The following is a 27067-nucleotide window of genomic DNA, read 5'->3' as shown; positions in this document are numbered from 1 at the left end:
TGGCCTCTTTCCCACCAGCCCATCACATCTGTAGGGTGTGGTGTAACCCTGGAACCCTATGTTTCCTAGAACTCCTGTTGGTCAGTGATAGAGCTTCCCTGCTGCTCTGGATCTAGGAGCAGCCCAATTTTTTTTTTTTTTTTTTGGCACTTCAACTGCTATCATAACAGAAGCAACCCTATTTCATTTCTGGGACCTGGAGAAGAAAGAACATATTCCATATGGATTCTGTATGAATCATGAATTTGAAGAATCAGGTAAAGCCCATGAAATCAGACCACACATCCCACTTAGCATCGTGTTTTATTCTTCTAAAGTTTTTTATTCTTCTGAACTCAACTTCTAAACGTTTATTGTTCCAAGAGATGTATATATTTTTAAAACGTTTTCATTCCTTTCACCTTCTATTTAAGTTGAAGGCAGTTAATAAGAAAGAATATTTCCTTTCAGCATTTATTGGTACCACTTGCATAACAGGCACAGTTGGGAATTTTGAAAAAAGAATTAAACATAGACTTTGCTCTTAGGGACCTTATAAACTAATATGGCAGATAAATCTGTACAGAAATAATGTGTCAGTCAGGGTCCCAGCAGGAAACAGCATGCTCAAAGGATTTATTGAAGAGAGTTATTGCAGGGTCTGTCTGCAGAGGTGGAGGCAGGGTTAAAGGAGCAGCAAGAAATGGTGGTGGGATGGTGGTGTAGCAAGAGTGGGAAGACTTCACCTCCTCTAGGCTTGCAGGGATGAAAGGAGGGAGAAGTATTACCCAATTTTGATGAAAGCTGAAGTCATGAGATAAACCTACACTATAGGGGTAGTGGCCGTAGTCAAGATATATGGTTACTTGTCCAGACCATGGCACAGCATGGAGGGAGCAGGGGGGCTGGGGTGGGGTAGGATGGGAAGAAGCCAGCAGAGGAGATTAACAAGAAGCATTCAGAGGAGCATGTGAAAAACCAGGAGTGTGTGGCGTCTAGCAGTAGAGACAAGGTTTGGGTGGGTGGGGGGCAGCCACCTCACATGCTGCCAAGAGGAAGGGTGAGATGGATTTGGTAGGGTAAGGACAATTGCGGCTTTGGCGAGAACCATTTGGTGAGTGGTGTGGAGCAAAAGTCTGATTGGAGCAGGTTAACTAGAGAAATGGCCCATCTGTTGAGGACCCTCACGGCAACAAATGGTGGAAGAGAGTGGAGAGGGACTCTGGAGGGGCAAGTGGAGATAATCCAGAAGGAGTATAATATGAGGATATTAAGTGGCCAGTGCTGTCAGGGCAAGGCAGAGCAAGAGCATGGGATTCAGAGAAGAGAGCCATTCTCCCAAAGCAGGAAGAGAAAGAGACAGAGGGAGATCTCATGGAGAAGATGGTGTCTTGGCTGGGTCCTACAGGCTGGTGTGGCCAACAGTTTCCATTTAATGCCCCCCACCCCTCCATGTCTCAATTGCCCTGGGTACCCATGTAACTCGTGGACAGCAGACACACTCTTGACCCCAGCAATGGCCCAGTCATGGTTCAGAGGCAGAGGGAGCCTAAGAGGGAAACTGGGTCAAAGGATCCCTCTCTTTCTCTTGGCAGGGCCATGGGGATGGGAGAGCATTTTGCTTCCTTGAGGGAAGCTAGCCTTGCAATGAAGATGACACAGGACAAGGGCAAAACTGAAAGTCACAGAGATACAGAGCAGCAGTCAGGATGACTTGGCAAACTCTGGACCAAACTGTGCTTGAATTCCATACTTCCTCTGCACTTTCTCATTATGGGAAACTAAAAATGTCCTAACTGTTTAAGTCAGTTTTCATTAAATTGTTTTGTGAAATGTAAAACATCTTGATTGAGAGCTATTATGATTTGGACATTAGGTAATTGGTCCAAGGGTGAAGATGAGGGGAGGGAGTTTGGAGGCAGAGAAAATATAAGAAAAAGGAAGGTGATTCAATATAACATAGTATGTACTAGCATAGAGTCAGACTTCCTGGGTCCATTGCTATGTTCCGTGATTTGGAGAAGCTACTCAACCTCTCTATGCCTCAGTTTCCTTGTCTATAAAATGAGAATGATAGTATACTTGATAGAGATGTAATGAGAATTAAATGAACTTATACTTGTAAAGAACTTAGAGCAGTGTTTGACATAGAGAAAACACATTATAAGTGCTTGTCCAATAAATGAAGGGCCTCGTGTCTGTACTTTACAACTGAACTTGTTCATGAGTCCCACCTGTAAAGAGAGGGGCTGGGCTCCTCTCGGAGTGTGAAGACTCTCCAAATACTTTATGTAGTGACAATGTGGGTGTCAGGTAATTCTTTCCATGTTTCATATGAGTAAATAGAGGTTTCAGGAAGATCAAAATCATTTAAGAGAGAATCTGATAATAAACATCATGATGGAGTTAAAGCCCAGGAGACCAAGAATTAGGACCCTGAGTTTATGCTTCTGCTCTGCTTCAACTCACTGAAGACCTCAAGTCTGTCCCCTTTCTTCTTCTTAAGGGTATGGGGGTTGACCAGATGATCTTCAGGTACCTAACAGACCTCATAGTTTCATAATAACACCACTGTAATTGATTCTACAGTTTAGCATTTACCAAGCATTTGGACAGCGTCTTCTGCTCATATAAAAACCTTGTCAGACAGGCAGTATGGATATTATTTTCCCTGTTTTACAACCAAGAAGGGAAGCCAGCTGATGAAAGCTTTTATGTCAGGTATGTTATCCCTGAGGGTAACAGGAGTTGAATCGCACTGGGAAACTCTGGGAGCTGGTGGAAAACACCTGCCTCAGTGTTATTCTATACAGTGGGGAGGGAGCTGGGGTATTTACATACCAACCGTGCCAGTCATCAGAGAACATTAATTTATTGGCATTTCTAGCCTGTCATACATGTAGCAAAGTGGGCTCAAGGGACCAGAGGAATCCTTGGGGCAAAAACACATGGATTCTGGCAGTTGAGAAAAGGCCAGTGCACTGACATGATTAGTATGAGGAGATATGGGCAGCCACCATCAGCATCTGCTACAGTCTTCTTGGGAAGGTGCTCTTGTCATCTCTACTTGCAAATAGATGTGTAAAATGTGATTTTAGTTGAGTACATTGCTATTCTGAACTCAGTTGCCTTACATGGCAAAACAGACTTTGCAAATGAAGCTTAGAATCTTGGGATGGGAAAATGAAACTGGTTCAGGTAGAATGGGGATGCCTGTAACCTCAAGGCAGGCCCGGCATAATCACAAGGGTCCTTACAAGAGGGAGGGGGAAGGCCAGAGGGTGGGGGGAAATGCTATTCTGATGGCTCTGAAGGTAGGAGAAGGGGCCAGGAGCCAAGGAATGTGGGCAGGTTCTAGAAACTGGAAAAGGAAAGGAAAATGTATTCTTTTCTAGAGCCTACAGAAGGAACCAGCTCTGTGGACATCTTGATTTTTTTTTTTTTTTTTTTTGAGACAAGTCTTGCTCTGTCACCCAGGCTGGAGTGCAGTGGTGTGATCTCGGCTCACTGCAACCTCTGCCTCCCAGGTCAAGCAATTCTCATGCCTCAGCCTCCTGAGTAGCTGGGATTACACGTGCTCGCTACCATGCCCAGCTAATTTTTGTATTTTTAGTAGTGACAGGGTTTCATCATGTTGACCAGGCTGGTCTTGAACTTCTGACCTCAGGCGATCCACCCGCCTTGGCCTCCCAAAATGCTGGGATTACAGGCGTGAGTCACTGTGCCCCGTCTTTTTTTTTTTTGAGACAGGGTCTCACTCTATTGTCCAGGCTGGAGTGCTGTGGTATGATCTTGGCTCACTGCAGCCTGAACCTCTGGGGCTCAAGCCATCTTCCCACCTGAGCCTCCCGAGTAACTGGGACTACAGGTGCATGCCACCATGCCTGGCTACTTTTTGTATTTTTTTTAGAAATACAAAAGGTTTCACTATGTTGCCCAGGCTGGTCTTGAACTCCTGAGTTCAAGCTATCCTCCTGCTTTGGCCTCCCAAAATACTGGGATTACAGGTGTGAGCCACTGTACCCAGCCATGCTGACATCTTGATTTTAAACTTCTGACTTCAATAACTCAAAGAGAATCAATTTGTATTGTTTTAAGTCACTAAATTTGTGATAGTCTCTTACAGTAGCAATTGGAAACTAATACAGAGAGAGTGGATATTGGGTGGGTTAATGGAAGAGTCTACCACAGATATCTAGCAGGTATCTTGAACAGCTTGCATAAAACAAACTTTGATTTTCGTCATTCTTACCTCTTGCATCAAAGCTGTTCCCAATCTCAGGAAACAGCCCCATGTCTTCCACCTGCTTAAGCCATAAGCCTTGAGGTCATCCTGGATTTCCAGCCTGTTTTTGTTTTGTTTTGAGATGGAGTCTTGCTCTGTCATCCAGGCTGGAGTGCAGTGGCTCGAGCTTGGCTCACCGCAACCTCCGCCTCCTGGGTTCAAGTGGTTCTCATGCCTCAGCCTTACAAGTAGCTGGGACTACAGGCTTGTGCCACCACACCCAGCTAATGATTTCTAGCCTTTCCTCACATTCCCACCTCAAATTTGTCAGCAAATCCTACTGGCTCTTCCTCAGTAGGTGTATACTTATCCCCAAACTCACTGAGTTGTATATATTATATATGCACAGCTTTTTGCATATCAATCATACCTCAATAAAGTGTTTTTTTTTTTAAAGGCCACGCCCAAATCGGATGCCTTCTCATGACCCATTCCACCTGCCATCATTTCCACCTAGGTCATGACTGCAGCAGCCTCCCACCTCGCTCCCTGCTCCACTCATTCTCCCGCTAATCCATTCTCCAGAGTGTCTTTCACAATTGTACATCAGATCCTGTCACTCCCCTGCTCCAATCCCTCCAGTGGTTTCCCGTTTCATTAGAAGGAATCCAATGTGCTTTCCACAGTTGAAAGCCTGACTGATCTGGCCCTGCCTGCCTTTTGCCCCTGCTTCCAGCACCCTGCTCTGCAATACTTTTTAAAAAATTATTATTTTATTTTATTTTTCCATAAGTTATTGGGGTACAGGAGGTATTTGGTTACATAAGTTCATTAGTGGTGATTTGTGAGATCCTGGTGCATCCGTCAGCTGAGCAGTACACACTGCACCATGTATGTTGTCTTTTATCCCTCATCCCCCTCCCACTCTTCCCCCCAAGTCCCCAAAGTCCACTGTATCATTCTTGTGCCTTTGCGTCCTCATAGCTTAGCTCCCACATATCAGTGAGAACATATGATATTTGGTTTTCCATTCCTGAGTTACTTCACTTAGAATAAGAGTCTCCAATCTAATCCAGGACACTGCAAATGCTGTTAATTCATTCCTTTTTATAGCTGAGTAGTATTCCATCACATATATATATTTCTCACAGTTTCTTTATCCACTTGTTGATTGATGGGGATTTGCGTTGGTTCCACGATTTTGCAGTTGTGAATTGTGCTGCTATAAACATGTGTGCACAAGTATCTTTTTCGAATAATAACTTATTTTCCTCTGGGTAGATACCCAGTAGTGGGATTGCTGGATCAAATGGTAGTTCTACTTTTAGTTCTTTAAAGAATCTCCACACTGTTTTCCATAGCAGCTGTACTAGTTTACATTCCCACCAGCAAACCCTGGCTTTTCTGATGCTTCTCAAAGAGGCCCAGGTTGTAGCTGCCCCAGGGCCTTTGCATTCACTGCTTGCTCCACCAAGAACCAAGCTCTTACACACAGTCACGTGGTCCACTCCCTCACTCCACTCCCGTGTCTGCCCAGCTGTATTCTCCTCAAAGAGACATTTCCCAGCCACTCTGTCTGACATGGACTCCTCTCTCCCACGTCACTGTTTCTGAGCTCCTTCTCCTACTTTATCTTTCTTCATAACACTCCTCTCTCTGTCACTCTCTCTAGAACTGTCTGTCTTCCCCACTAAAAGATAAATCCTACGAGGACTAAGATTGTTTTGTTCAGTGCCAACAACAGTGCTTGGCACATAGTTCAATAAATATTTGTTAATTGAAACACACGCACACACACACATATGGTTATTTATATGATTACTTCCTTTTGGATGTCATGGACAGTTAAGGGTAAGTGGTGACTACCCACGTAGCTGTGGTTTACCTAGAACACGGATTTGTGCATTTTTACAGAGCCACCCACATCTCTTATATCTTTATGCCTGAAAGAGAAATTGGTCTTCAGCTCCCACAAGTCCTGTCAAGCTAGAAGAGAAATTGTGAACCAACAGTAATTTCATTGAAAGTACAAATCCTCCAACACAGTCCCTTTCGATCACTGAAGGATCTTTTTGTGCTCTCAAATGAGAGGGACCATTGTCCCTGTTGAGTATGTGGGACACTGTTAAGTGCTGGTTGATTAATTATAGCAAATTCTTACCTGGCATTCTTACTTAATCAACTATTTCTAGCACATACCCAAATTTCCTGGTTTTTAAAACGATCATGCTCTTTTGCCCTTGGTACTACATTTTTGAAAAAGCTGATAGAATATATCTATTTTTTGCAAATTCTCTCCTGCTTTTTGTTTTGTTTTTTCTTTCCTCTTCCCCCTCTTATAACCAGTCTCATAAAGGGTGTAGATATCCCTTAGGACTCTCCTTATACTCTAAAGTTTCTAAACTGTTCAACTCACCCTTTTGGGACTATTCTACCACTGGTGATAAGATTGGCTGCAAATGGGAATCTCCTGGAAAGGTTTAACAACACTGCTTCCCGGGTGCCAGCCTGAGAGATCCTGATTTAGTTGGTCTGGGGTGCTGCCTGGGCATTGAGATTGGAAACCTCTCCAGGTGACTCTAAGGTGTTGCTAGTGTTGACAGTCATCACATCTAGTCCCTCTCATTAGAGTCTTTAGAACTCCTCTTAAGAATCAACTCCACTAGTTGGACATGGTGACTCATGCCTGTAATCTCAGCACTTTGGGAGGCCAAGGCAGGTGGATCGCCTGAGGTCAGGAGTTCGAGACCAGCCTGACCAACATGGTGAAATCCCGTCTCTACTAAAACTACAAAAATTAGCCGGGCATGGTGGCCCATGCCTGTAATCCCAGCTACTCGGGAGGCTGAGGCAGGAGAATCGTTTGAATCCGGAAGGTGGAGGTTGCAGTGAGCCAAAATCACTCCATTGCACTCCAGCCTGGGCTACAGAGCTGGGCTACTTTATCTAAAACAAAAACAAAAACAAAAACAAAACAAAACAAAACAAAAAAACAAAAACTAAACTCCATAGACTCCTTGAAATTTTCCATACTTCCTAAATTCACAAAGACTTGCCTTTTGCTTGATGACTCAGTTTTCATAAGAACACCCACCAAAGGAAATGTCTCCTTACTTGATTTTAGATTTTTTTGGGAGTTTGCAAAGCCATTTTTGTGTGTTATTTCCCTGGCTCCTCCCAACATCACTGTGAGGTGGGCATTCAGGGTTAAGATGAGGCAATGGAGCTAGAGCAATGGTCTACAGAGTTAGGCTAGGGCTGCCAAACTTAGGAAAACAAAGAAATACAACAAAAAATAACCCTAGCCAGGCATGGTGGTGCACGCCTGTAATCTCAGCTAGTTGGGCAGGCTGAGGCAGGAGAATCGTTTGAACCCGGGAGGTGGAGGTTGCAGTGAGCCGAGATTGTGCCACAGCGCTTCAGCCTGGGCAGCAGAGCTAGACTGCCTCAAAACAAAAAACAACAAAAAACCCACCCACACCGGACACCCATTTAAATTGAAATTTTAGATAACAAATAAGTTTTTAGTATATTTTGTGCAATATTTTGGGATATATATATTAAAAAATGGTTGTTCTAGCTGAAATTCCAATTTAACTGGGCATCTTCTATTTCATATGGCAACTCTACATATGAAATGTGTCCTCTTCTAAAGCTCAGGCCAGCGTCTTATGCCCTTCTCTTTCCTGCCTATGATCTCCAGCAGCTTGACTACATCCGCTTTTGGAAGACGTTCTTCCTCTCCACTGCATGGGTAGCCGTTATCCTCAGAAAGAACCTCTTCTGTATGTCAGCATCATTTGCATGTCCTTTTTTCTTTTCTTCATCCTAATCTCCTTTCTGTGGCCTCAATTATTGATAAGATCAAGCTGGTTTAAAAAACACAACCCAACATTTACTTGACTTTTGCTTGATGTCTTAGTTTTCATAACAACATCCAACAAAGGAAATGTCTCCTTATTTGATTTTAGATTTTTGGGGAGTTTTGCAAAGCCATTTCTGTGTGTTATTTCCCTGGCTCCACCTAACATCCCTGTGAGGTGGGCACAAGACCTGTGGAGGTAGGTATTATTTCCTAGGTACTCACATAGGACTAATTCTATTTGAGGATGAAAGAAGAAAGGTTTGGAGAGATTAAGAGACTCCTCAAGGTCATATAGCTTGGAAGTGCCGAAGTTGGGATTTGAACCTGGGGCTATCTGACACCAGGGCCTTTTTTTTCTTAATTAGCATGCTAGGAAAACAAGAAGATGGTATTGAGGACCTTGTGGCTTAGCCATTCAAGTTTTCCAGACTTGCTCAATTTGGCTTTCTGCAACTCCTGGGGTTTGGAACAATCATTGGATAAACCTTTTCCATTCCATGTGGGTGGCTAGAGAGATAAAAAGTGTTGACAATATAGCAACCCATAAGATGCATGCATATTCTTGGAAACCTTATTTTTAACCCTGAAAAAAAAAGTGTCACCACAAGGCTCTTGAAGAAAGATTTCAGCAGTCATTGCCAGCAAAGTCAACACTAAGTCAACCCAGGGACTTGCTCTTTAAACACATTTGCTGAGGCTAAGGGGCAAATAGTTTATACGATTCTGGGTAGCTGGCCACAAATATGTGTCAAAGAGGCTTTTTTCCAAGTGTTCAGTATCTTTTTTGGTATAAGCTTCTCCTGTGCTTTAGCCCTCTGTAAATATTTGTGCAATTAATGTATGCTGGCAAATGTCTCAAGAGGAAAGCAGGCTACATTATGCCAAGCAAAATTGTAATTAGTAACACAAAAGAAAAAGAATTTGTCTCTTTCATCTCAGTGCTTAAAAACTGTCAGCACTTAAGGCAGCTGGAAGCTTCAGAAAAGATAATTTGCAAAAGCTGATTTTCCTAAGCGGTTGAGAATGGGTCCTATATCCTAATATATTTTTAAAAACCACATTCACTTGAGAATTCTGTGTTCCCTTCCCTACTTAACATTAATCTAGTTAATTACAAAAGGTGCTGTAGAGAAAAGTTCCTTTAAAAATGTCAACCTCAAAATGTTGTTAAGGGGAGCATTTTGCATTGTGGCACCTATGAGGCACTGGAGGAGAGGGAATACATGAGTGGCCCATCTTGTCTAGAAATGATTGCCTAAGTGATGCAATCGAGAGGAAGAGAAAGACGTGTGCCTGCTGACACCAGCTGGAGAAGTCAGTGCACCTGGACCCATTCAGTGAAAGCTGTCTGCTGATCCACCCCTCCCTCACACTTCACAGTCTTCCTCAAACCTGCCTGGCCAACAAGGGCTTGGCATTCCTGTGCAGCCTCTGGAAGTTTCTGGACAAGAATGCTCCAGTACTGAACTCATTTATGCCCTGAATCCTTTGCTATTCAATCTGGGGATAGGATGGCTAGCCAGGTCTTTGAACAGCCAATGCGCTGCTGGCCCCTGGGTGATCTTTTCCAGCTGTTTAATTTGGGCTTTGCTGCCACTCCTGCAGATCTGCAAGGGAGTCTTTTGGTATCAGAATAATCCATGTTGTCTGAGGACCACCTGCCTCAGAATATCTAGGCAGGTTGGTTAAACATGCAGATTCCTGGTCTCCACCCTAGACCTATTGATTTGCAATGAGGATGCAGTGGGACATAGTGATTTCCTTCCTAAACCGATCTTCCAGGAATTCTCAGGCCATCTTCTACCTGCTAACCTTAATTTCCTCTCCACCACCTTCCCTTCAGCCTTTTTTGGAGGCTGGAATGGAAGATGATGAAAACAGTTCCTTTGGAACCTCTCTTGGAATCCCCAGGCAGGATGCACCCCCTCTGTATTCCTGGGTAATGTACACATGACTGTGTTACAGCCACTAAGCCCTAGAGTGATTTGTTCACCTCCTTTGGTATAAGCATCCTTTCTTGGTCATCTTTCTAGCCCCATCCCTAATATGACATCTGGCATCTAGTAGGACTCTGAATGTTTGCTAAATAAAGCAGTCGCTGATCTAATCCCTTCACTTCTGGGAGACCTCAGGTTGAAAGCATAGACTGAAAAGCATGACTAAGGAAGAGACCTGGAGGCAGAAAGAGCAAGTGAGGCATCCAGGGGGGCATCTTCCGTTCTTGCCCCTCCATGAGCCTCATGTCATCGTCATCATCATCATTCATCACCATCATCTTTGATATCTACTACTTGTCGATTACTTTGTAACTGAGCAGCTTAGTTTCAAACTGTTTTAAGAACTTTTTTCCTTTCCTTTTCCACCTTATGCTCCCATGCCTATGCACAGTTATTTACCTAGATTCTTGTTAAGCTCACACCATGCCCACTTATCTGGTCATGTATTTCCTTAGAAGCTTCAGGGGCCGAATCCTGACATGGACGAGGCATCTCTGGAACTCTCCCCCTAGCGGGAGATGACTTCAAGGACGGAGTTCACTCCCAGCGAGACATTAACTGCACAATTGACTGCAATTAATTTGTAAGCTGGTTGGGCCCAAGATGGTGCTGGCCCCTTCGCCAGTTGGAGCAATAATTTAAGATAAGCCATCGGAGTGAAACATGCCACCTGGCACCTCCGAGCCCCTCCCCCTCCCTGTATTCCAAGCCTCTATTCTTAAACCATTGCCCACTCTCCAGAAACTGAAAAGGTGGCAATTTTCAGAAAGGATTCTGACCTTTTCCCCTTGTTGGCATTGGATAATAAAATTCACTCTCCTTTGATCACACCTTGTTCTTGTTATTTTGGCTTCTTTCTGTAAGTGGTGAGCAGCCAGATCCTCTTTCGGTTACAACTTTGTGCCAGGCATTGTACTAAGCATTTCATGTACATTATCTCATTAATTTTCACATTACCATCTTCATATGTAGATGAGGAAACTGAAGGACTGCCTAAGGTTATGTGGGTTATGTGAGTATTAAATGGTTAAATGACAGAGTTAGGATTAGAACTTGGATCAGACTCAGAGCCTAATTTTTAAACATGAATGGTTAAAAGCACCTCTGCTAAAACGTTTGATGCTATACTAATTGAGATCTACTTAAAATAACGGAAGCTAGAACTAGCAACGGAGACCAAACCTATCTCACCATGTACACCTTCCTCTTTCCCAACTCTTTCTCGAATCTTATACTATTTACTTGGGTCAGACACTTAAAGCTCGCGAAATGCTCAGCCTCGTTTATTTGCAGCCATAACCCCATGTGCCTTCCAAATTTAAATTCTTTGACAGTTTGGCTTTAAATGATTACAACAAATATTTGTTAGAAAACTGCAGTGCCATAAATATTCATAGTGCCATAAAAACCAAAAGTTATGCCGAAGCAAACTCATCGTATTTGGCTTTTGTGTTTTCTGATGTTTGTTGCGTACTTTTAGAGAGCCGATCATGCATGAACCTACAAGTTAATGGAGTTTCCATGTCCACCTCAGTACTGTGGTGGTGGCTGGGCTTTCCAAATATGTCCTTGGTGTGTTTGTGTTAATGATTTATGAATCAAAAAGAATTATTTGCCACCTGATCCAAAACAAAGCCCTGAGGTCTATCAAAAAGGTGACCTATGGCTTGAGGGCACACTGTCAAGGAGAAATAATAATTCTCCCAGTGTCCACTGGGCTCTAGGGATAGGACAGGTGGAAAAGAAAGCTCTGAAGCCTCAATGCTCAGCAGTCCTGCCACCAAAAAAAGCATGCAAGAAATGGCTCCTTTAATCCTATTATGTTTATGAAAACATTTTAAAGGCTGCAATTCACATTCACAGACACTTTGAGATCATATAAATAATCCTTTTATGCCACTCAGCAAAGGCTTATTTAACATGGAGCTGGGCAAAGAGTGTAAAAAGTGTACTATGTACTTTAAGGGTATCGTGGAATTTTAAAAGAGGTTAGGAGAGCTTGAAAACCTGTCTTCCATGAAAGCTCCAAAATATTCTTTTATTAATCCTTTGTAGGCATGTACTATCAGCTCCATGTTCAGTGCAGAGGGGAGACCAAAAAAAAATATATATATATATATACATGTGGTCCTTGTCCTCAAAATAGAGCTTCCTAAACTGTAATGTACACATGGACCACTTGGGAATCTGGTTAAAATGCAGATTCACGTTGAGTAGGTCTGGGGCGGGGTTGAGAGTCTGCATTTCTGACAAGCTCCCAGGGGATGCTGATGTGGCCAGTCCAGGCACTCGCTCAATGTTGCAAGGCACTAAAACATTTACAAGCAAACAGTATAAAGTAGCTTTCTGATCTGCATGTCTTCGAAGAATTCTTTAGGATACCTGGGCTGCTGCTATTTGTCCAGTGGCTAATTAACACAGAAGAATTTTTGCTATAAACTGATGACCAACACAGCCTCTTACCTGGCCAGAGGTTTTCTGGAAAAGGGCCTGAAAGATGAAAAGCTGGCAAAAATGGTGTGCTTCGAGGAAGTCAAAGGCAATCAATCCTTGGTCACCAGAGTAGCTGGTAATAAAAGATTTCAGGTGACGCACTGCAAGACTGGGCAAAATAAGGGATTTGTCAGCCAGTGTCTAGGACATTTTGGTGGATGTTGTTTTCTTTCTCACAGAGAGGCCTTGGTTTCCTCGAGGTTTTAAATCATGTAAATTCAGTGACCGCAGGACTTTCAGACCGATTTGTAGCAGTTCATAAACACATTGGGCTGATGACAGCTTGTGGAAATTTGCTCAGAGAAAAAGCCCAGGGCAGAGCCCAAAGCTGTCTGTGAATGTATTAATAGTTAATATATTTAAAAAATACATTTATTTTTTTTTAATTTTTTTATTTTTTGAGATGGAGTCTTGCTTTGTTGCTAGAGTGCAGTGACAAGATCTCAGCTCACTGCAACCTCCGCCTCCCAGGTTCAAGCTATTCTCCTGTCTCAGCCTCCGGAGTAGCTGGGACTACAGGTGCCCACCACTGGTGCCTGGCTAATTTTTGTATTTTTAGTAGCGACAGGGTTTCACCATGTTGGCCAGGCTGGTCTTAAACTCCTGTAAACTCCTGACCTCAAGTGATCTGCCCGCATTGGCCTCCCAAAGTGCTAGGATTACAGGCATGAGCCACCGTGCCTGACCCAATAGCTAAAAATTTAAATAACCTAATGGCACCCTGAGGAAAATGAAAATCCAAACAGAAATCCAGCTTTGAGCTCATAAAGCCAGTGGGGATGCTGTAGTCTGCACTGTCTTCCCATAGGACAAGGGCAGTGCCCTGTCTGATACTCCTGTGAGGAGGAACTGGGGTTCTCAACAACGATGAGAATTGGGAATGTATATTCACCAGGACCGAGTTCTCCTTTAGGGTAACTTGTCCTCAGAATTTCGGAATATAAAAAGTCTGGAAAGTTTAGAATGAAAGTGGTATCACTGAACACATTCCCAAGTTGAACTCGGATTTCTGATCTCAATAAATAAGTGTCTGCCCATGGAAGTATTCAAGGACTAAGACTCTTTATTAAAAGTCTAAGGGATATAAGGTAATATTCATTATCTGTAAGGTATAACTTCCCAGAGAATTCAGGAAAAATTAATCCTGACACTTGGGAGCATTTCTTTCCCTTTAATGAAGGTTACAAGGCAAATAAGTAGATTGTATGGTGTTTACTTCAAATTGCAATGCACTTAGGCCCTTTGATTTCTGTGATAGAGACCTTTATTAGATAGCTTATTTTCCAAAGAACAGCCTGTGAATTCTGGGAATAGTAGTGTAGATGTCTGTTATGATCTCCAATTTTGAACATGTGGCATATTTTAGATGGCAGGAAACCAAGGACAAGTCTAGTAAACACACCCAAAATTAGTTTTCTTATTTGAAAGAAGATACTTTTATGTTACCTGATTTTATTGCCAAAATTAATAAATGGCAGCCCATCACAAACATCTTTCTAAATTGATTAACCCTTTATGTGAAGAGTCCTGGCTTCCCAAGTGATAATTTACTTACTAGTGTACTCACTTCAAAAAAATTATATATTATGTGTTGAGGTCAAGTCAATAGGGTCAAATCTTCTTCTTCTTTTTTTTTTTTTTTTGAGACAGAGTCTCACTCTGTCGCCTAGGCTGGAGTGCAGTGGCTCGATCTCGGCTCACTGCAACCTCCACTTCCTGGGTTCAAGCGATTGTCCTGCCTCAGCCTCCTGAGCAGCTGGGACTACAGGTGCCCACCATCACACCTGGCTAATTTTTTTGTATTTTTAGTAGAAGTGGGGTTTCATCATGTTGGCCAGGCTGGTCTCGAACTCCTGACCTCAAATGATCCACCCACCTCGGCCTCCCAAAGTGCTGGGATTACAGGCATGAGCCACTGCGCCCAGCCAATAGGGTCAATTCTTATCCTGTTTTCTCTTTTCTCATTTCTCCATTGCCATAAATAACTTCAAAAGGAAAGCAAACTGGACTGGTTAGGAATTAAGCAACCACATTTTTAATCAATAAATATGAACATTTGTTTTTTAACCAGTTACTATTAGGCAGAAAAAAACAGTCATTTATCAAGAATTCAAAAGATAACACCATCTTGAAAACAAAGTGCCAAAAATCTTTGCCATAAACTCTTCCTCACTTATAGAACTAAAAGTAACAAATATTTACTCAAAATAAGGCTTGGAATAATCTAAAAAGTTCCAGATATATTTTAAAGCTATAACAGATTTTGCACATAAAGCCAAAACAGATTGTTTTACACATACATAGACTATCTGACAACCCAATGAATAAATGATTGAATGGATAAATTGTTGAGCATTAGTGATTACTTATGTTCACATTATGGGCCAGGCTTACATCCATTTCTTGTTCTTCTCCTGCCTCACTGTCCCTTGCTCTTCCAAGGTCCTTGGTGAGGTGGCTTCCAGATAGGCCTGGGCAGTAAGGTGCTGGTGGAAGATGTGAGGGCAGGATAGGTGAGACCAAGGTATTCTCTTATCTGTCTCAGCTCACTCCATCTCAGTCAGTGGCTTTGTTCTTGTCATGGCTCCATTTTCCACAATCCATTGGTGGTCCTAACTCCCACTAGGCAGCCCCCACCATGGTTCCAGCTCCTCTGGATGATCCCACTACTGGACACAGGAAACCAAACCTCTTCCCATTATCCTCATAGCCCTGGGTGTGGTAACAGCTTCTTGCTGTTTGGCTTCTCTTTTATCATCTATGTAAGTCAATTTCCTGTATTAAACTCCCTCTGTTGAAACACCTAGAATGGTTTCTGTTTTCCAGACTGGATCCTGATGGATACATATCAGAATCATTAAGCTTTTTCTCCTCTAACTCATATGAGAACTTTTGCATGAAAATCTGCCCTAAGCCAATGAAAAATCATTCAAATCACACTCAATACCCACATTCTGCAATAAAGAGCAGTAAATATCCCCTTGGCTGTGTTTTGTCAAACATTGGGATTCTTTTTGCCAAGTGCAAACATGACTCTACCACTGTTACCACCAATTGCAGTGGACACAGCCATGAGCTTTCTCCAGAAGTCACTTCTGTTGCATGTATTAAGTCTATTAACAAGGTAACAGACATACAAAGAGAAAATTAATCTTAAGAGAAAGTTACACAGTCACCAAATGAATAACATTATAAAAAAAGTCTCTGAAAATTCAGAGAACAAAAGACAGCACCAGAAAGTTTCTTCCCTGTTGAATCAATACATTTTCCTGAAATTAAAATCCTGGAGAATTTCTGAATATTTCAAGAGCATAAAAAAATGTGATTCATTAATGAGTGACCCATTGCTTCTCAGCTAGAATGTACCCCTGATATGGCTATTGACTGAAGTAGAGTTCCTTGGTGAGCATGGAGACCACACAGGGGATCTGCTTCTTCTCATGGAAGTGTGGGTCATCAGACTGAGACTCAAAGTGCCTGGCAACTCTGTCATTCACCCTGGTGAGGATCTGCATGATTTCCAGGTCTTTTCCGTGCTCCTCCAGGATGGAGCAGAGGGCTTGCACAAACCAGGAGCCTCTTCCTGGGCTCCTCCACGAGTAATAGCCTTCAACAGGAAAGAAAGGAGACGACCAAATCAGCTAATTCTGACAGCTGCTCCACTCACCAATGAGAATGAGTATATGGCACTTTCACACCTGCTTTTCAGAAACTATTTCACTCTACTCTGCACACAAGTCATTAATGAGAATTATGCTGGTGTGCTCAGAGAGCAAACATCTGAGATTTAACGGCTGGCATGAAGATGCTAGAAAATGCTTTGAGTATTTCAGCATGGAAATCCCATGACAGACAGCATCACTAAGGGCCAGCATTGGTGGATGTTGCCAGGGTACTCTCTTGTGTCAGTTTTGATGGACGTACCCACCTGATAAATATCAGATACGTGGGTGTGAGACAGATCTGCATGTGCAGACTTCCAAAGGAAATGCTGGAGGTCTATTCCATAACTCTGGAACTCCTCACTATCCTTTAGGGGTCAGTGCTACTTCCTAATCCAAGCCTACTAGAGAAGGAATTTGCAGAGAACCTCAAGGAATTCTGAGATGTGTTCCTGCTGCTGGGATACATAGGAGTAGAGTTGGACCTTGCTGAAGAAATCTAGAGGCACAAGGAAGCTGAATGCCCAATTGTCTGAGGGGCAGGGCCAGGAGAGCCTGATGACCCGGGAGGGCAAATCTCATCCTATAACTCCCTAACCTAAAACCGTTCCCTTGCGCCACTTTATCTGAGTAAAGTTCAGGCTGCTTGACATAGCACACAGGTTCCACCATGACAGGGCCACCTGCCTACCTGTCCTGGTTTGACCCTGGCCATGCCCTGTCATATCCCTTGCTATGGACTGAACTATGTCTTCCCAAAATTCATTTATTGAAGCCGCACCCCATAATGTGACTGTGTTTAGAGGCAGGGTCTTTATGGAGGTAATTAAGGTCCAATGAGGTCACTAGGGTAGGGCTCTGATCCAAGAGGATTGGTGTCCTTATAAGAAGAGACACAACAGACCTCACTCAGTCTTGCTCTCAATCTCTGCCATATGAGGCTATAGCAAGAACGTGACCATTTATGAGCTAGAAAGGGAGCCCTCACCAGAAAGCAACTTAGCCGGCACCTTGATCTTGGACTTCCCAGCATCCATAACTTAGAGAAATAAATGTCTGTTGTTTAAGCCACCTTGTCTAAGGTATTTTGCTATAGCAGCCCAAGAAGACTGATATACCCTGAGATCCAGCCCCGAGTTTTACCAAATGCACTGGGCTATCCAGCCCCTCAGCACTCCGTCTGACAAGCCATCCTTCTTTTACCTATGTTGTTTGAAATTTTAGGCTCAGTTATAGCAGCTCCTTTTTTTTTTTTTTTTTTTTTGAGACGGAGTCTTGCTCTGTTGCCCAGGCTGGAGTGCAGTGGTGCGATCTTGGCTCACTGCAAGCTCCGCCTCCCAAGTTCACGCCATTCTCCTGCCTCAGCCTCCCGAGTAGCTGGGATTACAGGCGCCCACCACCATGCCCAGCTATTTTTTTTTTTTTTTGTATTTTTAGTAGAGATGGGGTTTCACTGTGTTAGCCAGGATGGTCTCAATCTCCTGACCTTGAGATCCACCTGCCCTGGCCTCCCAAAGTGCTGGGATTACAGATGTGAGCCACCGTGCCCGGCCCAGCAGCTCCTTTTTAACATAGCTTTTCTCAACTGCCTCCTTGCTCAGAGCAACTACAACTCTACCACTGGGTTTGTTTACACAGACATATGCCCCCATTACACCACCTCCCTCTCAAGAGCAGAAAGACCAAATTATTTTCGATCTTATGCCATCCTTAAAACTTGTGAAGTTATCGCTCTCACAAAATCTCATCTGTAGATCCTGCCAGAGCTGGTTTTCCAAACACATCAACCTATTTACTGTAACCAGTACCCTTGTGCCAAATACTTGACACAACTACTATTACAGCTGGGAAAATTCTAACTTAGTGCTGGTTTGTACCCAAAACAAAGGAAGGACTTTCATTGAACAGATTCAGTCAAATGTAGTGCTTGGTAAATAGTGAGTAGGCTTGCCCATTGCTGGCGTTTTCTGGTATCTGTGTACAGGCTGCCGTGTAAAGGAACCTTGGCTGACTCACAGCTCTACTGTGCACTGAAATCTCTACCTGACCTTAGGCATATCACTTAGATTCATCCAAACTAAAAATTCTTTTATTTTACCTGTAAAATCAGGACAGGAATAACACCTTTCCTAAATACTTACGGTATTATTGTATATGAGAAAAAACACATGAAAGATACTCTATATTGCAAAGTACTACAGAAATGTTTGTCCTTATAACTACTAAAACAATAATAATAATAACAAATGAGAGAATTCAGCTTTCCTGGAGAGAAAAGTGAATGCATTTCTGTGGTAGGCAGAATAATGGTGCCCAAAGATGTCCACGCCCTAACCCTGGAACCTATGAACATGAAACCTTATGTGGAAGAAAGGACTTTGCAGATGTGGTTAAGGGTATCGGACTGACATGGGGAGATGATCCTGGAGCATCCAGGTGGGTTCCATCTAATCACAGGTGTCCTTTCTCAGCTGTGGTCAGAAAGAGAGCACGGTAAACGACAGAAGGGTCAGAGAGATGCAAAGTTGCTGGCTTTGAAGATGAAGGAAGGGGCCACAGCCAAGGAATGCAGGTGGTTCTAACATGCCACGTAAAGGCTGGGAAATGGATTTTCCCTTGAGCCTCCAAAAGGAACGTAGCCCTGCCAACCTATTTTGGAATTCTGACCTCCAGAACTGCAAGATAATACATTTGTGTATTTTAAGCCACTGTGTTTGTAGTAATGTATTACTGCAGCAAGAGGAAACGAATACAGTCCCCAAATCTGTGTTTTGATGATGGAATGGACTGAAGTATGCTTGGCAGACAATGGACATGATACCTGGAACCGTGGAATAGGCGAAGAGGAAGTCAGCTTCCACTGGGATCTTGTATCGAGGATTAGCATCTGTGTCATTGATGGGCCCCGAGTCGGCCTGGATGCCATCATCAAGCTCGGTCCCTCGGCAAGCCTAAATATCAAAGCAGACATCATTCTATGCAGTTGGGAACAGAAATGTACGTGCTGTTCACTGCTGTGTCCTGATACCTAGAACTGTGCCTGGCATACTTAGGAGCTCAATGATAATTTGATGAAAAGATAAATGAATGAATGTGTTTCAAATGACTAAGCAAAGCAAATAAAAGTATTGCAATGTCTTAAAGAAACCTTCATAATTTGTGGCTGGGTGTGGAGGCTCACACCTGTAATCCCAGCACTTTGGGAGCCTGAGGTGGGTGGATCACTTGACGCCAGGAGTTTGAGACCAGCCTGGCCAACATGGCGAAACCCCTCTCTTCTAAAAATACAAAAATTAGCCAGGCGTGGTGGTGCGTGCCTGTAATCCCAGCTACTCAGGAGGCTGAGGCAGGAGTATTGCTTGAACCTGGGAGGTGGAGGTTGCAGTCTTCCGAGATCACGCCGCTGCACTCCAGCCTGGGTGACAGAGCAAGATTCCATCTCAAAGAAAAAAAAAAAGAAACCTTCATAATTTGTGATCCAGTGGAAACACATATGCTAACCATTCAGAGATAGAAAAATAAAACCCTAATTTGAATATGGAAGCAGCATTTGGATTTGTAAAAATGATGCCATCCCCGTCACTCTGTAATCTTTCCCAGAAAAATAAAACCCTAATTTGAATATGGAAGCAGCATTTGGATTTGTAAAAATGATGCCATCCCCGTCACTCTGCAATCTTTCCCATTTTCAAGTGTATTGGCATTGAAAAGAGATTACCTGAATGAAGAAGAGTTTGGGTTTCTCTAAAAGGGTTTTGCATCTATCCCCCCTAAAGTGGGCTGTCAAATCCTTTATTGGTGTGACACCATCTTTCCCATAAATTACATTTTCTTCTCCATGGCTTAAGAGGATGCAGGCGAAGCAGGCGGCATTTGTATGGTCCTCTTCAGAAGCTGCAAGCAAATAATACGAACATTGAAGAATTAAGGTCTAAGTTCTGGGGAGCCTCAGATGCAGCATTTTCAGAGGCAGCCTGGCAGCTGCCTCTGACTATTAGAGGGTTACAAGGGAGGGGAGGGGAGGAGCTGGGGACTGGGCTCCTTTCAAAGGATCAGACTTATCTAAGACGTTAAGAGAGAGGGATAGGTACAGTGTATGGGGGCTGATGTGTGTGGCCCTGCTGTTGGCTAGTTCTGTGACATCAGGAATGTTACTGAACCATTTTGTGCCTTGATTTCCTTATCTGTACATTGAAGATCAATATTAACTCATTAAATGAGTTAATATTTGTAAAACACGCCACATAATAAGCATCATGCAAGTGTTTGTTAAAGAGAATAAAATATTACGCTAAGTGCAATAAGCCAGTCACTAAAGGGCAAGCATCGCATGATTCCACTTTCAGGAGGTACCCTGAGTAGTCAAGATCACAGAATATAGAACGGTGGTTGCCAGGGGCTGGAGGGAAGGGGAAATAGCCAGTTAGTGTTTAATGGAGATAAAGTTTCAGTTACGGAAGATGAAAGAAAGCCTGAGATGGATGGTGGTGATGGTGACACAACCATGTGAAGTCATTCTGATCTATACATTTAAAAATGGTTATGATGGTAATTTTACGTTATGTGTATTTTACCACAATTAAACAAAATTAAAGAAAAATAAATAAAAATACTAGCTTGGCTGTCCATTTAGGATACTGAGGAGAGGAATCATAAACCATGTAGCTAGTTGGCCCAGCTAGAACTCACCAAAGGTTCTATGATACTAACTAACCAGCTATAGGTGAACTAACCATTACTTTTAATGCCAAAAACCGCAATTACTTTTGCACCAACCTATAACTAGCTAATACACATATCCTTTCTTCTTCTCTATGATTAATGAGGGGGGAAGGAATAATATTTAGAATTTCTTGAGCAAATACTATGTGCAGACACTGATCTAGGTACTTTACATGAGTTATTTTTAATTCCTACAAGACTGGAAGTAGGCCTCATTTATCTTTATTTCACTGATTTAAAAAAATGGAATCTCGGAGAGGTCTCATAACCTTCCCCAAAGGTGGTAGAACACGTTGGAGCCTTGGGGCCGTTTTTCAAGCCCAGGACACTGCAAAGTCCAGCTACCTCACCAGTTCCAGGCAGAGTAAGAGTGGCCTCTCCCATTCGAATTACCAAGACACTTTGCATTATCTCCCCAGTGATTCTTGTATTAGTTTTGACAGTAGAGGTACAAGGTGATGGTGATGAAAGCTGGAGTTCTTAGCTTATTTTAAGAGTACACAAATTAGGACAGTTAGAAAATGGGAGTTTTGTCTTCACTGGAACTGACTGCATGTAAAGTCAGAAAAAATAAGTGCTTTACTAGTTTGATAGGACAATAAGCAAGAATTCTCTGATTGTGACATGCTCTGGACTTGGGCAGAATGAATCACCTTTCAAAAGAACAGAAACGGCCGGGCGCAGTGGCTCACGCCTGTAATCCCAGCACTTTGGGAGGCCAAGGCAGGCGGATCATGAGGTCATGAGTTTGAGACCAGCCTGGCCAGCATGGTAATACCCCATCTCTACTAAAAAAAAAAAAAAAAAATTAGCCAGGCATGGTGGCACGCATCTGTAATGCCAGCTACCTGGGAGGCTGAGGCAGGAGAATTGCTTGAACCCGGGAGGTGGAGGTTGCAGTGAGCCGAGATTGCACCACTGCACTCAAGCCTGGGCGACAGAGTGAGACTCCGTCTCAAACAAAACAAAACAAAACAAACAAACAAAAACCAAACAGAAACTACAATTGGGACAAGTTCATATGCCTATCTGGGCCATTATACTTCTCGAAGCACGCTCACAAAATTCCTCTTGGCTCACAGGCTTCCTCACTCCATCCCCAAGAAACAGCAGGAGCTGGTATCATAATCTGCCTTTCAGGAAAGCAAAAAAATCAGGATGATGTGGTTGCCTTGCCTGGGTTGCCTGTTAGAACTTGGGCCAGACCCAGATCTCAGACTCCTGATTTCTAGTCTGGTCTAGGACATAACCTACTAGGGTACAAAAGGTCAGCTTGTAAGAGTCAAGTTGGAGGAAATTAGGAAAAATGCCTAGTTTTAAAAAAAAAAAAAGATGGTGGGGACTTTTTTTGTTTTAGCTGTGAGGTTAAGAAAAATAGCAGTGATTTAGATTGTGTTCCTATCTACTTCCTGTGGGTCTGTGTCTAGTGAATTGATAGGATGTTACTTTCAAACACTTGCCCTAAATGCCAGAATACCTTAGGTGGCATCCATTAGAGAGGGTCGTGTAATAGGAAACGCATTTGTCCTGGAGTTAGAAGACCAGAGCGTGGGTTTCGGTTCTGCCCCTACTAACTGCACCCTTCAGTGTATCTTTCTTCCTCTCTGAAGCTCCACCCCTTCTTTTATTTTATTTTTTATTTTATTATTATTATTTTTTTTTGAGACAGAGTCCTGCTCTGTCACCCAGGCTGCAGTGCAGTGGTGCCATCTTGGCTCACTGCAACCTCTGCCTCCTGGGTTCCCGGGTTCAAGTGATTCTCATGCCTCAGCCTCCCGAGTAGCTGTGATTACAGGTGTGTGTCGCCACACTTAGCTAATTTTTGTATTTTTAAGTAGAGACGGGGTTTCATCATGTTGGCCAGGCTGGTCTCGAACTCCTGGCCTCAAGCAATCCTCCTGCCTTGGCCTCCCAAACTGCTGGGATTACAGGTGTGAGACACCACACGTGGCCCACCCCTATATTTATAAAATGAGCATAATATTCTGTTGCCCAACATTGCAGGGCTTCTGTTAAAGATCTAATGAAATAATTTTGTGAACATGCTATATAAAAAATAACATAGTTCTAAAGTATATGGAATTATTATTCTCTATCTGCCACAAGGGAAAAGTTTACGCTTACACTTCATTCTAGAAAGGATGACACAGATTTGTTACTTCCCAGGAATGAGTCTTTTGAAATTGTGACCATTCTGTATACAAATAATCTATTTCTTTTGCTGGACTTTAAGCTGATTTCATCATTTTACAAAGAGATTGAAGGCTCCTCAAGGAAACCTGCCTACTCCAGGACAGGTATGGACTGGTCAAGAGGGAGGGAGGTTTCTCACACTGAAATTCCTCTGCCCTGCACAGGCATCCTTCTGAGATGGGCCTGGCCATGGTGGGCGGATCGCCTCCCTTGGGTACAGGAAGAAGATAGATGGAGGGGCGGTAAGGGCTCAACTTTTCTTTTTTTGTGACAGGGCCTCACTCTGTCACCCAGGCTGGAGTGCAATGGTGTTATCATGGCTCACTGCACCCTTAACCTCCTAGGCTCAAGCAATCCTTCCACCTCAGCCTCTCAAGTAGCTGGGACTACAGGCACATGCCATCATGCCTGGCTACTTAAAAAAAAAAAAAAATTTCAAGATAGGGTGTTGCCATTTTGCCCAGGCTAGTCTTGCACTCCTGGGTTCAAGTGATCCTCCCACCTTGGCCTCCCAAAGTTCTGGGATTGCAGGCATGAGCCACCACTCCTGGCAGCACTCACCTTTTTTAAGCAGATCTTGCATCTTGGCACAAGAGCAGTCATTATAGACAATCACGTCAAAACCCAGGCTTCGGAAGCACTTGAAGAGCGCCTCGGCATCTTTGTCTGTTCCGTTTCGAACGCCCATACCTGTGGGAATCAAGCAATGAATCCACAGGTGAGCATCCCCTGGCTGAATACTACATGCGGGCGCCAGTGGGCCGGGTGCTAAATGTACTGGTGCCAGCTGCAGCAGAAACACTCCAAGTATATACAATGCCTTCCAAGGCCACAATTTAAATGAACTGAAGCAAACTCAAAGGGGAGGCTAACAGTGCCACCTGCCCGCAACAGGTGAGCCTCCTGGTAACATTCAGCTCCCATCAAAGCCAAGGTTCCCCTGGATTCTTAGCCCTTTGGTCAAAGCCCCGCATCAGCTAATACACGTGGTGGGGCCTTAGACTGAACATTCTTGATTTCCGCATAACCCTTTCCCCTGAATACAGGAACCTTGCCTTCAGAGGGGCTGTCTGCCACAGTAGGTAGGTGCAGCATTTCTCCCATAAATGTCTGATACAAATAGGAGAAGATGAAAGGGAACCGGAAAGATGAGCCCATGCCCACACACCCACCTGTCACTTTATCAAAGTTCTTGTTGTTTATTATGATGCATTTGCCCAGCTTTTCAAAATTCATGTTGTACTGATATGTAGGCACTCGGTCCCGGGTGGTCTTGATGGATCGCATGGTGACATTTTTCTTCTTCTTACTGGTGAAATATAAAGTTCCAGAGTCAGGGGCTGTGGAAGAAGTGTGTATAGTAACGTCTCTTCATTTTACTACTAGTGTGAAAGCGGGGGATGCCTAAGAAAACTGCAGTATCCTTGAAGAAAAGACCTGGCGTGGACAGACGGCTCTGTTTAATTGTCATGTTTAAGTGGAACAGGGTCCCCTGGCAAATTTTATTAGATGCCAGAAAAATGCAAATTAAAATCACCATGTGATACCAGTACACACTTACCAGAATGGCTACAGCGTAAAAGATGCAAAATGTTCAGCTCCCTGGATTATCAAACATTGCTGGTGGGAACCTACTTTGTACACCCATTGTGGAAAACCAGCAGAATGTACTGAAATGGAATGTATACATAACCTATGCCACAGCAACTCCCCTGGGAAAAGCAAACACGTTCACTAAGATAGGTCCACACGTCACAGCAATACCATTCAGCGATGGCCTCCAGCAGAAAATAATCTGTACGTCCATTCACAGTCAAATGCACACATTGTTGAACGTTCGTCTAATGAAATACTATACGAGAATAAACAAACCACCACAATGTGAAGCAACATGAATAAACCTCACAAATATAACAATGAGTGAAAGAACTGACATACAAAAGGGTATATACAAAGACAAAGTTAAAAAGAACAAAACTAATACCTAGGATCAGAAATCTGGAGATGGTTTTCCCTACGGTGGAGATCAGAGACCAGAGGGACATGGGGTCTTTCTTCAGTGTGAGTCATATTTTGTTTCTTGGTGTGGGTGCTGGTTACATGTGTGTTTCTGTTGGTGAAAATTTATCAGTATGTGCACTTTCTATGTGGATGTTATGTTTTAATAACATTTACATTAAAAGGGGGAAAAAGGAACAGAAGGATTACAACAAAAAAGTAGGCTCTTTCCAATCTCCAGACAACTGGTGGTCCAGTTTGCCAAAAGTCTAGCAGGTAGGCAGTGTGGTGGGGCATGAGGCACCATGGAGCGGGCAGAGGGACACATTTCCAATGAGGGTGGGAAGCTGTCTTGCCAGCCATCTATGCCAACGTGAGCTCCAGGAGGGAGACATTTCTCCGTTCTGAAAATCACTGAATCCCCAATAGGGAGAACAATGCCCAACATATAAGTTGCTGAATAAATATTTGTTATATAAATGAATGAATAGAATTGTATCCACTTCATTTTACAGATACGGAAACTGAGGTCCATGGGGAGACGGGGATTGTCCCAGGTCACCCAGCTAGTGAAGGGTGGGTCCCAGTCTGCAACACTGTCCCCTGGAGTATTCAATAGAGTGATCTGCCCGCCCTTCTCCCATGGCGCCCAGCCAGAGTTAGAAGCAGCAAAATAAAAGTCAAAACCCAGCTTGTTACCTGACAAACATGGGGTCACGGGTACTGCACTTGAGTTGTCATGGACTTTTATGGTTGGAGTTTCTCAGAATCTCTGAAAGGGCATGGCCTTCCCCCTCTCCGCCCCCACTCCTATCTTACTCCAAATTACAGACGAGCTCTGTATGTCTAAGCCGCAGATGCTGTATTGCTGTTCTTCCCCTTGAACATGACTTTATCCTCCACTTTCGGAAGGCCAAATTTCTTCCATGATGCCATTTTACTTTTAAAAGAGAAATATCCGGAATCTGTTTTGCCTTCTCTGGGCTTCTCCACTGTTTTGTATTTTGTCTGGTTTACAGGGTGACGCTGGGTTTTCTTCACATTTCCTTCCACAAAGAAGCAGCACAAAAGAGCGCTGGACTTGCGGCTAGTCGGAGCTCTGCGTCCACCCGCCCGTGTGACCTGATCCGGTGAGTTGTTACCCTTTGCAGAAAACCAACTTCCTCTCATGTGACGCAGTCAGTTGCATGCAGTAGGTGACGCATTTCGTGACTGTCGCAAAATTAGATGGGAGTTGCAGTGGCAGCAGGTACTTCCTGTGATGTATCCCCACCCCCTGCCCCTTGGAGATGTATCAGCAAAGGGAGTTTCTGCACTGTTCAAGGACACACCATTCAGGCAGCAATAGGATTTCCTTATTGCCACCCTGTTAATGACTGCTATTGACAGTGTCCTCTGTACTTTTTAAAATAATGTGTGCACAGTCTTTCGAACACACAAAATCTCTGGTGTTCGATAGGTGCCTCAGAGGTAGGTAGTGGGGGATAATCATGCCCATTTTACAAGTAACAATAATAATTAACATTTGTCAGTGCTTACTAGGGGCCCAGATATTGTTAAAACTCTCATCTGCATGTCCTCACTGAATTCTGATAGCAACTCAAAGAGGGAGGCAGATATCATCGTAACCCCCTTTAAGGATGAGCTGCGGAGGCTTGGGGTGGGCAAGTAACTAGCTCAGGGTTGTGAGGGGGCACAGCAAGTCCAAATCCAAGCAAGTTGGCCATGGATTCAAAGAATTAAAATTGTTAAAAATCTCCATACTGCTCAAAGCAATCTACAGATTCCATGCAATCCCTATCAAAATACCAATGACATTCTTCAGAGATAGAAGAAAAAATTCTAAAATTTATATGAAACCACAAAAGACCCAGAATAACCAAAGCCATCCTGAGCAAAAGGAACAAAACTGGAGAAATCACATTACCTGAGT

The 27067-nt window shown here is 43.4% G+C and overlaps 1 protein-coding gene across 11 annotated transcripts in view, besides 2 other annotated features; it reads right to left on the bottom strand.

The window, feature by feature from the left end:
- Positions 1–14567: 14567 nt before the first annotated feature.
- The window catches only part of CASP7 (caspase 7), a 51716-nt gene continuing 39216 nt past the window's right edge, over positions 14568–27067 (bottom strand). For 5 of the 11 annotated variants that reach the window (NM_001267056.2, NM_033338.6, NM_033339.5 and 2 more), the window contains 5 exons: positions 24309–24445; positions 23698–23826; positions 19940–20115; positions 19043–19172; positions 14572–16166 (listed from right to left, as the gene is read on the bottom strand). In NM_001267056.2, the coding sequence (NP_001253985.1) occupies positions 15937–16166; positions 19043–19172; positions 19940–20115; positions 23698–23826; positions 24309–24445 (802 nt within the window). In that variant the 3' untranslated portion in view covers positions 14572–15936. Of the gene's footprint in view, positions 16167–19042; positions 19173–19586; positions 19661–19939; positions 20116–23697; positions 23827–24308; positions 24477–25833; positions 26254–27067 lie in introns of those variants that run through there. The other 6 variants (NM_001267057.1, XM_006718017.4, XM_011540260.2 and 3 more) reach the window with 5 other exon arrangements.
- Positions 23309–24508: an enhancer, noted in NCBI's record as "CDK7 strongly-dependent group 2 enhancer chr10:115480728-115481927 (GRCh37/hg19 assembly coordinates)". NCBI's record gives its function as "activates an origin of replication core promoter dependent on BRD2, BRD4, P300/CBP, MED14 and CDK7 cofactors, with strong dependence on CDK7, by STARR-seq in HCT116 cells {active_cell/tissue: HCT116}" and the evidence as "EXISTENCE:reporter gene assay evidence [ECO:0000049][PMID:35650434]".
- Positions 25681–25854: a silencer, noted in NCBI's record as "fragment chr10:115479382-115479555 (GRCh37/hg19 assembly coordinates)". NCBI's record gives its function as "represses an EF-1alpha promoter that drives an FKBP-Casp9 reporter gene in an ReSE screen in HepG2 liver carcinoma cells {active_cell/tissue: HepG2}" and the evidence as "EXISTENCE:reporter gene assay evidence [ECO:0000049][PMID:32094911]".

The sequence above is a fragment of the Homo sapiens genome, chromosome 10 (genome assembly GCF_000001405.40).
Source record: "Homo sapiens chromosome 10, GRCh38.p14 Primary Assembly".
NCBI lineage: Eukaryota > Metazoa > Chordata > Mammalia > Primates > Hominidae > Homo > Homo sapiens.
The sequence above is the reverse complement of the archived record's forward strand: the minus strand, read 5'-3'. Positions and strand labels throughout refer to the sequence as shown.